A 15958-nucleotide genomic window follows, 5' to 3' on the forward strand; every position below is an offset into this window, starting at 1 on the left:
AGATTAGAGAAAAGCTATATTTTATTTGCCCTTTCAGCACAAATGGAGACCCATGGTCTACTTCTTTTAAATTGGCATGCTAAGTAATTACATGCTGATTAATCACATATTTGAATCTTTGCAAATGGCCTTTAATGATAGTCTGCCAAAATGTTTAATAACTTTAGAAAACTCTATACAAATAATCATTTACTCTCTATATTTCGTATATAGAATTACTAGCAGAAAAGTAGCAAACAAGAAGTTAGAAAAACTGGATTCCAGCCTTTAGTCTCTCATTATTTTTGGAGGTATGAGCATCATCAAGTGCATTGAACTCTCCGTAAACCTCCATTTTCATATTTGCAAAGTAGAAAAATTAGAATATGTGACAAAGCCTGGCTGGTTTGCTGATCACTAAGTCCATCTACTGGGCACAGCTAGATGATATTCCACTGCCTCCCTTGCAGTTAGGTGTGACTACAGAACTAGTTTATGACCCAAGAAATGTTGGCAAAAGTTACGTAAGCCAGTTTCAGACTCTGCTCATAAACTCTTCTCATGAACAATACTCAATAATTGTTTCCTTTCTGTGGCCATCTTGGAAAGGAATTGAAAATGGTGAAGCATCAAGATTGAACAATTCAGGATTTCTAATTTAAAGATGTTAAGAGAGATTCATGCAGATCATAAACACTCATTTTGAACTTTATATAAATTATATAAGTGGCTATTGTGTTATGTTGTTATTTTGATCTATTACAGCAGCTATTATTAACTCAACTAATGCAGATTGTATCAACTCTTAGGTCTATAAATGCTATTATTTTGTTATTCTATGCCATAAAGACTGAAAGCCCATAGTTTGGAAGACAAAATTAATTTGCTTCTCATTTGTATTTCAGAATGTCAACAGTAAACATTTGGGTGAAGTGCTTTGGCTTCATTAAAGTCACTTATTTCACAATGAAACAAAACTGTCTTTGGATTTTACAATGTAAATTCCACACAACTTATTATTTTTATTTGTATGTTTTCCTCCAACTTTTGTTTTAGATTCAAGGGGTACAGGTGCATGTTTGTTAGATGGATAAATTGTGTGTCACTGGGGTTTGGTGTACAAATTATTTTGTCACCCAGGTAGTGTGCATAGTACTCTATAGGTAGTTGCTTGATCCCCACCATCCATCCTCCCTCCACCTTCAAGTAGGCCCGAGTGTCCATTGTTCCTTTCTTTATGTCCATGAGCTTTATAGCTTTGTGTCTTTAGTGCCTACCATTGATGACAAAGATGTTTAATTTTAGAAGAAACCTAGACTAAGAGTCATGTATTACTTTTCCATCAGCGTGTAACAGATTATCCCAACATTTACCTCAAAAAAAAAAATAGGTTTATTGTCTCGCAATTTCTAGACAAGGCTTAGCTGGTCCCTCTACTTCATTGTCTCTCAGAAATTAGCAATCAAGGTGTCTGCTAAGTCTGGGGTCAGTTCCAAAGGCTCTCCTACAGAAGGATCCACTTCCAAGCTAACTCAAGTGGCTACTGGCAGCTCCTCAAGCTCCTCAAGATTTGTGAGACTAAAGGCCCTCCATTCCTTGCTAGCTATTGTCTGGAGCCTCTTCCTCAGGCCCTTGGCACGTAGACCTCTCCCATATGGCTACTTGCTTTATCAAAGCCAGTGAGAGAATGTCTACTGGAAAGACGGAAGTTACCATCTCTTGTGACCTAATTACAGAACTGACAGTCCCTCGATGTTGCCACATTCTCTTGATTAGTAACAGATTATTTGAGGATAGGGAATTATACAAGGCTATTCATATCAGGAGGCAAGGTCATTGAACACTATCTTACAGGACTGCCAGAGGTCATCTTTAAGGTTATTCATGATTATTCCTCACAAGTAACAATCTGATGTCTTGGTGAGACATTGGTAAGGCTTTCTTTCTTCCTGTTTTTATTTTTCCCTATTGCAATTAGCCAGTTTGTGGAAAAAAAGACAGAGAGAAAACCAGGGAAGAAAAAGAAGACAGGGAGAAAGAACAGAAAAAGAAAAGGAAATATGGAGAAAAAAAGTTAATGAAAAAATATTAATTTTTTCTGGCCAGGCATGGTGGCTCACGCCTCTAATCCCAGCACTTTAGGAGGCTGAGGTGGGCAGAACAACAGGTCAGGAGTTCGAGACCAGCCTGGCCAACATAGTGAAACCCTGTCTCTACTAAAAATACAAAAATTAGCCAGATGTAGTGGCACGTGCCTGTAGTCACAGCTGCTTGGGAGGCTGAGGTGGGAGAATCACTTGAACCTGGCAGGCGGAGGTTGCAGTGAGCCAAGACCATGCCATTGCACTCCAGCCAAGGTGACAGAATGAGACTCTGTCTCAAAAAAATAAATTAATTTCTATGTATTTCAGTTTTCATAACCTGATTGTGTCTATTTGAATGAGCAAAATAATAGTTACTATGTGGATGTCAAAGCAGTATAAACCCTTGAGAGGGGATGACAGGGCAGAACTGGCTTAGAAACCTGGAAGATTTATAATGTGAATGTTTACATTGAGAGTTAGAAATATAAATAGCTATGAAGAGAATAAGAAGTGGCACTTTAGTAGCAATCAAATAGAATATGAGTGAACTATTTAGGAGTACAGTAACAATACATCAGATCCTGAGAGTACTAGTATATGATCTTGTCAAATTGTGATGTGATTTTTTTAATTGCTCTAATAAATCTCACTTCATGTCAGCCTATTCTAATGATGAGGTCTGATGTATGTGAAATAACAATGCCTAAAATTTATACAAAATTTTATAAACTTCTTTCATATGAAGGATCTTATTTGATATTCATAAACTACCCCCTTTTCAAGATATACAGATTCTTCATGTAACCCCACTATTAAAATCTTCCTTGGCTGGAGGATAAAGTCTAGACTCCTTAGCCTAACTATAAAGCTATTTATGAGTGACATACAACAGCCTCACCATTCTCCTTCCTCCCACTCAATCCCACATCTAGCCACCTGAAACTACCTGTCCCCTGTACATGCTGGTTCAGGCATTTGTATGTGCTCTAGATTAGAGTTTCTCAACATGAGCACTACTGACATTTTTTATGGTAATCTCTTGTTGCAAAGTCTGTTCTGTGCATTGGAGGACATATAGCAGCATCCCTGGCCACTACCACCTAGATGCTAGTAGCAATCTCACATAGTTACAACAGGTAAAAATGCCTCCAGACATCACCAAATGCCCCCAGGGGGTGGGCATCATCCTCCCTTGAGAAACAATGCTCTATGTATTTTTTAAAATTCTGTTTTCTTGGTCTGAAAAACCCTACTCTAGTTTCTACTATTGACTAACTCTGACATTTTCTTTAGAAGTTACCACTGTTGCAAAGTGTTATGGACTTTGTGCACCCCTCCTCAAATTCATATGTTGTAATCCTAACCCCAATGTAATGATATTAGGAGGTGGGGCCTTTGAGAGGTAATTATGAAACAGTAGCATTGCCCGATTCCCCTCACAAGACATGCGACAGGAGTGTGGCTTGCCTGTTTGGTCACCCCCAACTGCAGCTCAAACCTTTATGGGAAGCATGTAGATGGGCAGGTGCAGAGGCTGGGGCAAGTGCTTTGGGCTCTTGGCCCTGTGGTAGTGTTTAGGGGTGGGTGCCTGCAACCCTAGTGTTACCAAGCTCTTTCAGCTTTGATGTCTGCAAATGACTTGTGTGTTAATCAGCTAAATGGACCCTGGGCCTTATTGCAAAGGCAGAGGGCCAATGTGACAGCCTTCTGTAACCCAAGCTCTTGCCCAGTGTCACAAAAGAATTAAATCACATGCAGACTCAAAGGATGAGTGCAATGTTTTGTTGAGGGGTGGAAGTGGCTCTCAGCAAGATGGATGGGGAGCTAAAAGAGGGGATGGAATGGGAAGGTGGTCTTCACCTGGAGTCAGGCCACTCAGCAGCCAGATTCTTCTCTGACCACCCCCAGCAGAACTCGCCTCAGTGTCCAGACATCACTCCTCTGTTTCTCTACTGTGTCATTCCACCATTGCTGGTCTGCTGAACTGCTGGTCTGCAGCCTGGGGCTTGGGATTTTTATGGTGGCAGGACAGGGTGTGTGGCAGGCCAAAACGCAACATTTTGGGCATGAAAACAGGAATGCTTGTTCTCATTTAGGGCCACGGGTATCCAGGCTTGAGAGTGGGGCCTTTGCTGGGGAACCACCCGCTTCTTCTCAGCATTTTCCTGTCTCCTGCCCATATCAATTAGGCCAAGAGGGTGGAACCCTGATGAATGGGATTGGAACCTTAGAAGAAGAGACATAGAGCTTGCTTCCTTTGTGTCTCTCTGGCTCTTCACCATATGAAAATACAACTAGAAGACAGCCATCTACAAACCAGGAAGCAGGCCCTCATTAGATACTGGATCTGCTGGCACTTTGGTAGTGTATTTTCCAGCCTCCAGACCTGTGAAGAATACATTTCTGTTGTTTAAGCAATCCAGTCCATGGTATTCTGTTTAGCACTCCGAACAGACTAAGACATAAATGGGTACCAAGAGGTGTGTTAATGATGTAAAAAGTGGCTAGGAATATGGAAGAGGTGTTGGAACTGGATAATGGGGTAGAAGCTGGAAGAGATTTGATGCATATGTTAGCAAATAATGATTTTGCTGTGAAGAGGTTTATAAATTCTGATTCTGATTCTGGTGAGTACTCCAAAAGAAAAGCTTGGTTGAATTGTGTTTGTGTTCCTAGTGTTGTGTGGAAGGTAGAATTTGTGAGTAATGAAATTGTCTGTTTATCTGAGATTTGTAAACCAAGCACTCGTAGGGTGTTTTGCTTTCTCCTAAGTTCTTATAGTAAAATGTAGAGGAGAGAACTGAACAGAAGATAGAGCTGTTAGGCAAAATGAAACCAGAACTTAAGGATTTGGAAATGTATCAGCCTGTCCACATTATAAAAAATAAAAATGAGAAAGTCCATTTGAAAACGAATACTAAGGCTGTGGTAGAGTGACCATTTAATAAGATTAGTGTGGTTGTGAACCATAACCTAATCAGCCATCTCAACAGAAGCCTGGCATAGAGATGGCATTACAGCTGAAGAAACATTTCTAGCTGGAACTTAAGAACAGAGAAAACAGGACAAAATGGAGAAAGACTGTTGGAAGACCCGACGGGAATGGATCATAAGGGCTATTCACCTACAAACATACAACTTTCTTCAAGATAAGGGAAGAAGGACCCTGCACATAATGCCGATATCTTAGGACTGCCACTTCCACTGCACATCCAGAGTGCCTGGGGGTGGGGGGTGCAGGGGTGTCTCCACCTCAGTTTCAAAGAGTAGGACCAACACCCAGCAAAGCCTTGGGGGCAAGGCCACCTGACAGATCCACAGAAGCACAACCTCTACCTGGCAGAGTCACAACATGTGATCCTTGCCTGTAGAGCCACAGATGAAGAACTGCTGCCATAGTGGGTCTTGGAGGAGGCTGGACTGATGTCCCGGTGAGTCTGGAAGGAAAAGCATTGAATCAAAGGGAATTCTTCTCAAGATTTATAACCTCTTAGCCTTTCTAGGTTTTTGGCATTCTTGGGACTTGTGACCTCTCAGCCCTTCCTTCTTTTTCATTTCTCCCTTTTGGAATAGGGGGGTCTATTCTATGCCTGTTCCATCATTGCGTTTTGGAAGCATGTAACTTGTTTGGCTTCACAAGTTCACAGCTGAAGAAAAATTTTACCCCAGAATGAGTCATACTTGGAGTCTCACCCATATCTAACTTAGACAATATTTACATGAGAATTTGGCAGCCCTAATAATATCTACATCATCTACAGGGCCTTTCTTTCTTTGTCTTGAAGACAAGTGTGTGCTCTTTAGAGTTGATGCTGAAATAAGTTAGGACTTTGAGGGCTTTTGGATGAAAGGAATGTTTTCCCTTCATCTGAGAAAAATATGAATTTGGGAGGCTGGGGTGGAATGTTATGGACTGAATATCTATGTTCCCAAATTCCTATGTTGAAATCTTCACCCTTACTGTGATGATTTTAGGAGGTGGGGCATTTGGAAGGTAATTAGATCATGAGGGTGGGGCCTTCATGAATGGGATTAGTGCCTTTAGAAGAAAACACAGAAGGAAGCTTGCTACTTCTCTTTCTCTGCTTCCTGTCATGTGAGGATACAACTAGAATATGACCATCTGCAAACCAGAAACCATATCCTCACCAGACACTGGATTTACTGGTGCCTTGATCTTAGATTTCCTAGTCTCTTGAACTTTGAGAAAGAAATGTATACTGTTTAAGCCACCAATCTATGGTATTTTCTTTTAGCACCCCAAACTGACTTAAACAGAAGTCTTCTCTTTATTCCATACAGCCTCAAAGGGATGACTTTCTTGGTTCCTCTCTCTATCTGTGCACCAGGCAGAGTGCTCAGGATTGTTTAGATCTTGGTTTCTGCAGACATTAGCTGTATGAACATTGGTATTTTACTTAGTCTGCACACACCTACTTTTTCTTATGTATTGAATAGGGCTGATAATATTTACATAATTTACACTATCTGGAAGATACTCAGTACTCAATATATGCTAGTTAATATTATTACAATTGTGACTTCATCAATTTTTTGAATTGAAACATTGTGATTTCTAGTTCATTAGATATGATACTATAAATTTGTAAATTCAAAGTTGATATAATATCGTACAGACAAATCTACATAGTAACTGAATTCTTCACTATTTTATATTTCTCTTACAACATGGCCACCCTGCAGAAGGGGGATCCCCTTGATTTTCTAAAGGATGATTTTTGTTTAGTTGGATAGAGATAGCTAATGAGTCACACTGGGGCTAAATTTGACCCGTAAAGATAAAATATCTACTGGAAAATGGATTTAGTTTATCTAATCATAAACCGATTTTGTAAGGAGGGTTTAATATGGAATTCTTGAGTGCAAAATATTTATATCAAACAGTAGAAAGACTACAAATGTCAGAACACACATTAAAAATATCTGTAAATCAGCATCTTGTGTTAACATACTAACCAAATTAGTGAAAACACATGCATAGAGTAGCAAAACTGGGAAGCATTCACACAGACAAATTCCTGAAGAAGTATGAGTAATTTGTAAAATATATTCTTATTTAAAGGAGGTTTGAAGATATGAGTAACTTTTCTTTATTGATAACTCAATTGAGAGTAGCCTTTGAGAATAAGCAGCTTTCAATTTACTTAAAAATTCACCTTCAAAATTAGATAGATTGATGGATGAAAAGAGATCAATGGGAGGCATAATAATGGACCACATCCTTATTCCTGGAAGCTTTGAATACATTACATTACGTGGCAAAGGAGACTTTGCAGATGTCAATAATTCAAGGATTTTAAACTAAGGAAACTATTCTGGGTTATTCTGGGTTCAACATTATCACAAAGGGCCTTAAAAGATGGAAGAATAAGGAAGAAGAGTCAGAGAAGGAGATCTGGCAAGAGAAGCAAGGGTCAGAGTCAGGAAAGATTTGAAGATGCTACACTGCTAGATTTAAAGATAGAGGAAGACACCACAAGCCAAGGAATGTGAGTGGCCTCTACAGGCTGGAAAAGACAAGGAAATTAATTCTCTCTCAGGGCCTACAAAAAGGCCTGCCAAAGAAATGCAGACCTGCCAACATCTTGATTTTAGCCCACTGAAATCCATTTTGAACTTTTGACCTCTAGAACTGTAAATTAATAAATTTGTGCTGTGTTAAGCTGTGGTGATTTGTTATAGCGGTGATAGAAAAAAATGCAGACTTAAATGATACTCAAATGTTAATTATAGAATAAAAGTTATGGGCATATGGGTAATCACTGTATAATTCTAATTCAGCTGTATGTTTAAAAATTGTATAATAAAACATCTAGAAAATAAATGAGATTATATCAAAATATATTTAAAAAATAGTGCATTGTGAAAAAATGTATTAAAACTGGGTTAATCGACAATACTTGATAAAAATTGTTTCATGAATAAATTTCTGCATGGGTAACTCATTTGTGTTGCAGAGAACAGCATCTCACTCTCAAATCAATTTTTCTTCTTTTTTTTTTTTTTTTGAGATGTACTCTTGCTCTGTCGCCCAGTCTGGAGTGCAGTGGCTCGATCTTGGCTCACTGCAACCTCTGCCTCCAAGATTCAAGCAATTCTCCTGCCTTAGTCTCCCAAGTAGCTGGAATTACAGGTGCCCACCACCACACCTGGCTAATTTTTTTTGTATTTTTAGTGAAGATGGGGTTTCACCATGTCAGCCAGGCTGGCTTCGATCTCCTGATCTCAAGTGATCCACCACCTCGGCGTCCCAAAGTGCTGGGATTACAGATGTGAGCCACCACACCCAACCTTCAAATTAATTTTTCTAAGTAGCTAAAGTCACATGCATAGTTCAGATTGTTAACACTCAATAAATGCTAAATAGAATATAATGCAATAGAATATACACTCAAAATGGAATTAAATTGCATATCTTATCTGAATTCTGGTGAATTAACCTATGATTATGGATAGTAAAGGTATCATCAGAAGCATGATGTAAGTATGATTCCTTCTGACTTCCAAATACTAGGTTGAAATTATGAAATCCCACTCCTTTATTACTTTCTGAAAGATTCTCATAGCATTGTCAGTACTAATCACTAGTCATTGTATAGCTAGTCACTCTGAGAAATAGAAAGAAGAAATCAAGTTCAGTATCTTTTATTATCTTGATATGGATTTGAGAATTAAGGACACAAACCAAAATAAATAGGCTTAATTTGTTGTTTCTATTTTAATAGATGTTAGCATGTTTTATATGCCAATTAGTGCAGTGGGCTTTTTTACATTTTGATATAAAAAATGCACAAAAAGCTTTGCCCTGATTTCTCCCTGTAAAAATGGAAACGTTAATAGATCTCTTTAGCAGATACTTCCAGTGTCCTGCTCATCCCCTTTGGCATGTAACCTGACTTTCGCTACCAAAATGAACAATGAGAACACATGGACACAGAGAGGGAAACATCACACACCGGGGCCAGTTGGCGGATTGGGGGCAAGGGGAGGGAGAGCATTAAGACAAATACCTAATGCATACGAGGCTTAAAACCTAGATGATGGGTTGATAGGTGCAGCAAAACACCATGGCACATGTATACCTATATAACAAACCTGCACATTCTGCACATATATCCCAGAACTTAAAGTAAAAAAAAAAAAAAAAGTACAGGTTTTATACCTGAGAGCTTCCTTTAGCCACCACTTGGCCTAGGACAGGATTGACTGGGAAGTGCTGGGAACTGAAACTCCCAGGACAAATCATTAACCAGTAACATCGGAAGTTGGTGGATAATAGCCTAGCTCCCTGATCCCTCAAATGGGATAACTGCAACATGGTTGGTTCAGAATACCTAAATTTTCCATTGAGTTGAAGCTCCAACTATCTGCAGTGGTAATGTCCTTGAGAAAGCCTCCTTGATTGGCTTCATCTCATTCTCTGTCTCATTTCTCCAAACCCTTACTGATGATTTTCTTGGATTACCTCCCAAATAAACTCAGAATCCCCCTGCTTTGAGAAAATTCAAACTAAAAAGTCCCCCACCCTCAGAAAGGGAATAAAGAAATACAAACCATATTTATAAAAGTCCTCAAAAGATTTTTAATATACTAATACACTCTTTTGGAAAAACTTTTTTAATTGCCTAAGATTTTACTGTCTGCAAAACCAAATATCACACAAATACTTATATTTTGATCCAATGAAACCGAGTTCTAAAGCCACCATTTTGTGTGGGTGTTCAAACATCTGTCATCAGCAAAACAAAACAAACAAAAATTTAAAAACTTTTTAATGTCTACCTTCATTTGGACAATGGAGCACATGGCTTTAGGCATAGTTCAGTGGGAGAGTTAACTGTGACAACTCATGCATCTTATCTTAGTGATTACAGGTAACAGTGTTAGAAATTTCACACCCACCATCTACCATATCAGTGAGGTTTTCTTTTTCTCTATGTACCTTGGCTTGGCACAGATGACATCGAGTGGGACTGAGAGGTTTGGTCCAGCTGAGACTGATTCTCCTAAGTAGTGTTTATTGCAGTGCAGATGGGAATTCTGATGTGTCTATGTCTCTGCTGCGTGGCCTGTTTCATACAGATGGAAACTGAAGAATCAGGATAATTGAACTGCATGGCTCTTTTCAGCTTCTGTGATATAGGAGAGGAGGGAAGGAAAGGAAGGAAGGGAAGGAAGGAAGGAAGGAAGGAAGGGGAAGGGAAGGGAAGGAGGGAGGGAGGGAGGAAGGAAGGGAAGAAAGAAAAGAGGGAGGGAGACAGGGAGGGAGGGAGGGAGGAAAGAAAGATAAAAAAACACTTGAAAATATACTTAATTTTTATATTACTTTCTATTATCTTAGAAAGCTTTCAGCAGTAGGAAATAAAAGCTTAAAAAGTATTGAATTTCATCAATGGTTAATATGAACCTAGAAATGACTTTTATTCCTGTATCACAGATTACAGAGGCTTGTCCATGAATGGAGAACAGTCCTATCCTTTATTAGAGGGTGAGAGGGCTCCTGATGCTGTGTTCTGTCAGAAAAATGCTGAAGTGGATAGACACACAGGTCATGAAATCAGCTTATTCTTTATATACAGGAAATAGTCATTGGGCCTGAAGGATATCACTCATTGACCCACTATATTTCTTCAGATACATCTTTGACTTACTTTCTGGCTTTAAATACATGAGAGTGACACAGTATCAGGCTTTAGAGTCTTAATAAACATTGATTATTTTGGCCTTGCTAGGCATTCCCTTTTTCTCTGATAAGAGGAAACCAGCTTTCATTTGGGAGATTTTTCTAATTTCCTTATATCATTATTGTGTGCTGAACTGATGGAATTTGCAGTTTAAAAGCGTTCATTCACCTGTGGTTGGACAACGTAGGCTGATTCCATATTCGCAGTAGCCAAGATATGGAATCAACCTAAGTGCCCAACTACGGATAAAGAAAATGTGCTATATATACACAGTAGAATACTATTTATTCATGAAAAGAATGAAATCCTGTCATCTCCAACAACATGGATGAACCTGCAGGACATTATGTGAAGTGAAATAAGTCACACATAGAAAGGCAAACATCACGTGATCTCACCGCATATGTGGAATCTTAAAAAATCAACCTCATAGAAGTAGCAAATAGAAAGGTGGTTACCAGAGGCTGGGGAAAGGAGGGGAGGGCCATGGCGAGTCAGTCAATGGGTACAAAGTTACAGTTAGAAAGGAAGAATAAGTTCTGGTGTTTATTGCACAGTAGGGTGACAGTAGTTAACAGTAAGGTATTGTAGCTCTCAAAATAGCTAGAAGAGAGAATTTTCAATGTTCCCATCACACACAAAAAAAGAGAGGTGATGGATATGCCTATTGACCTGATTTGATCATTACATGGTGTATACATGTTGAACATCACATCGTACCTCATAAGTATGTATCATTATGTGTCAATTAAAAATAAAAATTAAAACATGCTTAAAAGTGTGTATTTTAAAAAATCCATCCTCTTCTTCCCTCCCTACACTTCCCTAGCCAAGTGCATGACCCAAACAAGATCACCAATGGATTCTGCTGAAGTAATGTCTTCACCAGTCTTCACTAGCTCATGTCCTAGCCCCTGCTAGCCCTGGCTTCTGTAATTCCCATGCCTGTTTTATTTCAATTTTGCAAGTTAACCATTATTCTTCCCACACATTGATCAGATCATCAGAGTCTATTTATGTCTCTTGAAAACGGTAAGTCCTATCTCTCATTAAGGTGTTTTTTTTTTTCTAATATGCGACCTGATGTTTCCTTTTATTTGGCCAGTAATTTGGTTTTAAAAACATTTTTTACTTTATTCTTGTTTTTGTGTTACAGGTAAATATCTTCTAATTTTTCCTCATATTTAAAAAAAAGATGAAAAGTAAATGAATAGTTGCTCTTTGCCAAGAGCTGTAGTCATTTATTTATATGTTATTTATATATATTTATATATGTTGTTTTAATATAAAATATATATTAATATGAAACATTTTAATGTATATATTTACGTATTTTAATATCAAATATTTTTAATACAAAAATATATAATATATGTGTTATATATATATATGAAATATATATATAAGTTCCTTTGGTCTTCTCCAAACCTAAATTGATGTATAATATTTTGTTTTAACATGTTTTTCTTATTTTATTTTTATTTCTTATTTTATTCTTATTATTCTCTTAATAAAAGGCTAAGTACAAAGCGTAAACTAGAGAAATAGTTAAAGGCACAGAAAATACATAAGGTATAATCAACATATATGTATTTGTATTTATATTCATTTATTTCAGTACTTTCTGTGTTCTGAACATTCAAACATGGCAAAAACTAAAGATATTGTCTGCATTACTTAAATTAATATTAATTTACCTTACTCTCCAGATCAATAAACTGATACTCAGATACAGTATGTAGTTTGTCTAAGGCCATCTATGTCATATAGAGACCAAATAGCAGAGTGAGAATTTGAACCCAGGTCTATAGGACTACAAAACCAGTCACAGGTCTATCTAGTTCTTACAAAAGAACCTTCTGTAAAGGGCAGTATTCTGGAGATATTTATTACCTTTGGATGTGCTCATGAGACATATTAAAATATGTCTAATTTTCATTATAGAACTATTTAAGCTTAAGAAAAACAGGAAAGAAAAAAACTGTTTATAAATTCTCAATGACCTTTAAAGCAGAAACAGCTGCTGGGTTACATTGATCTTGAGTGACTACAGGCAGCTCTCTCAGGTGGACGGACATTAGATTGCACATGCATTGTCATCTCACCCTTTGAAAGAGCATGAAGAAAGCTGTAGGAAATAATTTATTTCATTTTCAATACAAATAAATGTCATAATGCAATATTTAATGACAGCCTTGATTGCATTCACTGATAAACCTGGTTCCTGAATTTCTATTAATAGTTACAAATGACTCCAATGAAACTTTGTCCAGGTCCTCACCTTTGAATACTGTTTTTGAAATAATACATGGATACATTTTGAGGACATCCACCCATATACCCCTAATGTTGACTTAAATCATTTTAATATACTGTTATACAAACAAATGTAGAGATGCATCTAGTTTTAAATGTCTTATGCTTATCATTCTTATGTAACCAAAAAACAAAGAAATATATAAACATTAACTCCAAGCCAACCTACAAAATCAACACTTTTCAAATTAATAACATTAATGTAATTCAAGGGATCGTATAGTTTTAGAGAATTTAAATTGCTGCCCAAGTGTGACTATGATAATATTGTAGTTAGACGGAATTTTGAGTTTGTTTTGTGTTTACCACTTAGCACTGTGTGGGCATAACACAGATTTTTCATCACTTAAAAAAAAATTAAATTTCTAGGAAACTTCAATTCAAATATGGTATGAAGTCATATATTCTATCACTTTTCAATATATATCATGAATATAAGTCTGCTTTTAAATTGATTAATTTGCCTTCTATAATTTGATGGAACCATTTAGCACCAACAATATTTTTAATAATGAGACGCAATGTGTTAGTTTCAGTTTTCCCAAAGCAGACTGATAAAGGCTAACATATTAATGGCTTATTCAGAAAAATGATTTCAGAGAACCAGATTAAAAGGTGTTGGAGCAAACAGGACAAGACAAGAAGTTCATTCAAAAATGTGTTACTGATTGGCCACCTCAAGAGAAGATAATTTGGTTAGCCCAAGAAAGTTTCTAAGAAGCCTTCTGGTATGTCTCAGAACCACCCACCACAGAAGTAAAAAGGAAAATCATTTATCTGTTGGTTCAGTCTCCAACACATAAGTGCTGCACATGCGTGATTGCCAAATTCTTCATGAGGAACACCCTGTGTCAGAGGAGCTCTGGGCAGCAAGTCAGAGGACCTGCTGTGCATTGTCAAGACACTGTCAGATCACACTTGTGCCAAGCTGCACAAAGCCTCCATGGAATTATGCATAACAGCAATGGCTGAAATAAGATATAAGGCCAAGAAGATTTGAAGCCATACACAACAGAGTTTTGCATTCACTCAGTCACTGAAACATTAAATAACCTGTAATATTATATGTTTATATGATTAAATCAGTCAGGAGACATTAAAATTTTTTTTTCAGACAGCACACATGGACACCCTGTTGAGAAACATTCTTGGTATAGCTTATTCATGGGTGTTTCAAATGATCACTCTATCATTTTAACTGTAATTCTAGGATTATCTGTACTACAGTTACTTTGTAGACATTTTTCAATGCAAACTCTCAAAAACTACAAAATTTTTTTCTAAGTAGCTCATTCTTTTAACTAAATTTCATGTATTTTGTCAAATTATCTTTTGTGTGTTGTGCTATACTCTGAGAATTCAAAAAGTGATCAAGTAACAAACAATAGAGTGTCCCACAATTTTATTGGAAAGACAAGCACCTACATCAAAAATTGTAATTGGAACTAATAGGATTCTATAGTTGACACATGTTCAAAGTTGTTATGAGACCATAATATTTGTTTTCTACATATAAAGAGTGTATTTCAGATATATAATTGGCCTTAAAAGATAAGTGGGTTTATTTCAAATATATTACAACAACAACCTAGATGTGCTACCCTTGGGAAAATAATATAAATTTGCATGGTTAATCAAGGTTGAAATTTTTATTTGTGGCCCCTGAAGTAGTGAGAGGGAGAAAGTATTCCCTTGACCTAATTAGCATAATAAGTCCAGGCATGCTACATATGGTTAGGGCAGGGAAACCTCTTCTTAGCTCAAGATTTAGTCCACTTGGTGTTGCTATAACAAAATGGCACCAACTTGGCAATTTACAGAGAAAAGAAATGTACTTTTTATAGTTTGGGAGGCTGGTAAATTCAGTTATCAAGCTACCGGCATCTGGTGAGGGCCTTCCTGCTGTGTCATCCCACCGCAGAAGGTAGAAGGGCAGGAGGGAGAGCAAAAGTTAAAGAGGCTAAACTCATTTTTATAACAAGCCCATCTTGAAGATAACTAACTCATTTCCACAATGATGACATTAATTTAATCATGATGGTGGAATCCTCATGACCTAATCACCTCTTTTTAGGCCCCACCCATTGACACTGCTGCATTGGGGTTTAACTTTTCTATGCATGAATTTTGAGAGACACATTCAAACCATCACAGCTCAATGCAAGTTAAATTAGATCACGAGAAATGGCATTGTAAGCTTTTAAACTCATGCTTTATCCATATTTTCCACATAAAATTAGATGAGCTTGAAAAAAGAGACTCTGAATTTTTGCCGGAATCATTGTTTTCTGACATTTTTAACCAGATAAGTGTCATTCTAGATTTCTAGTATTAAAACCACTTTCAGTAAAATGAGTTAATAATATTGCTTCTCTACCAAATTAAAAAGATATTTTCTACCATAGTTATGTTTGACCTTGCCAAAATATAAATACATACACACACACACACACACACACACACAATAATACAAATACATATGTATAGCTATATGTATAAATATATATGGTTGCAGGGAAGTATTTCCAAGCAGTAATGAGTATTAAGAATAAAAGTGCTTTTTGGCATCTAATATTTTGCAATAATTTCAAAAAAAAAATCAATGAAACATTCTGCCTCCTGGCAACATTAAAGACTAAATCCAAAGCCTAATGAAGCATAATATTATTGAATAAATTACTTCTATTTGTGTTTTCTTTAATATGGCTCTGACAGCCAACTTCTTTCAAATATAGCCATTTGTTCTCACTATGTTACTTTCTACAAATAATAGGGTGTTATTGCTATCACTCTTGTGCTTCTTTGGTGGCATTTTTGATGCATGTAAAATAGTCTTGATCAGAATAAACTTCTAAGACATATGTCTTAATTACA

The 15958-nt window shown here is 37.0% G+C and overlaps 1 long non-coding RNA gene across 3 annotated transcripts in view; it reads right to left on the bottom strand.

Moving 5' to 3' along the window:
• Window positions 1-5351: 5351 nt before the first annotated feature.
• The window catches only part of LOC105370603 (uncharacterized), an 82165-nt gene continuing 71558 nt past the window's right edge, over window positions 5352-15958 (bottom strand). For all 3 annotated transcript variants that reach the window (XR_944097.2, XR_944098.3, XR_944099.3), the window contains exons 3-4: window positions 10027-10216; window positions 5352-5500 (exon numbers count right to left, since the gene is read on the bottom strand). This is a non-coding gene — a long non-coding RNA (uncharacterized LOC105370603). The remainder of the gene's footprint in view (window positions 5501-10026; window positions 10217-15958) is intronic.

This window comes from Homo sapiens, chromosome 14 (genome assembly GCF_000001405.40).
Source record: "Homo sapiens chromosome 14, GRCh38.p14 Primary Assembly".
Taxonomy (NCBI): domain Eukaryota; kingdom Metazoa; phylum Chordata; class Mammalia; order Primates; family Hominidae; genus Homo; species Homo sapiens.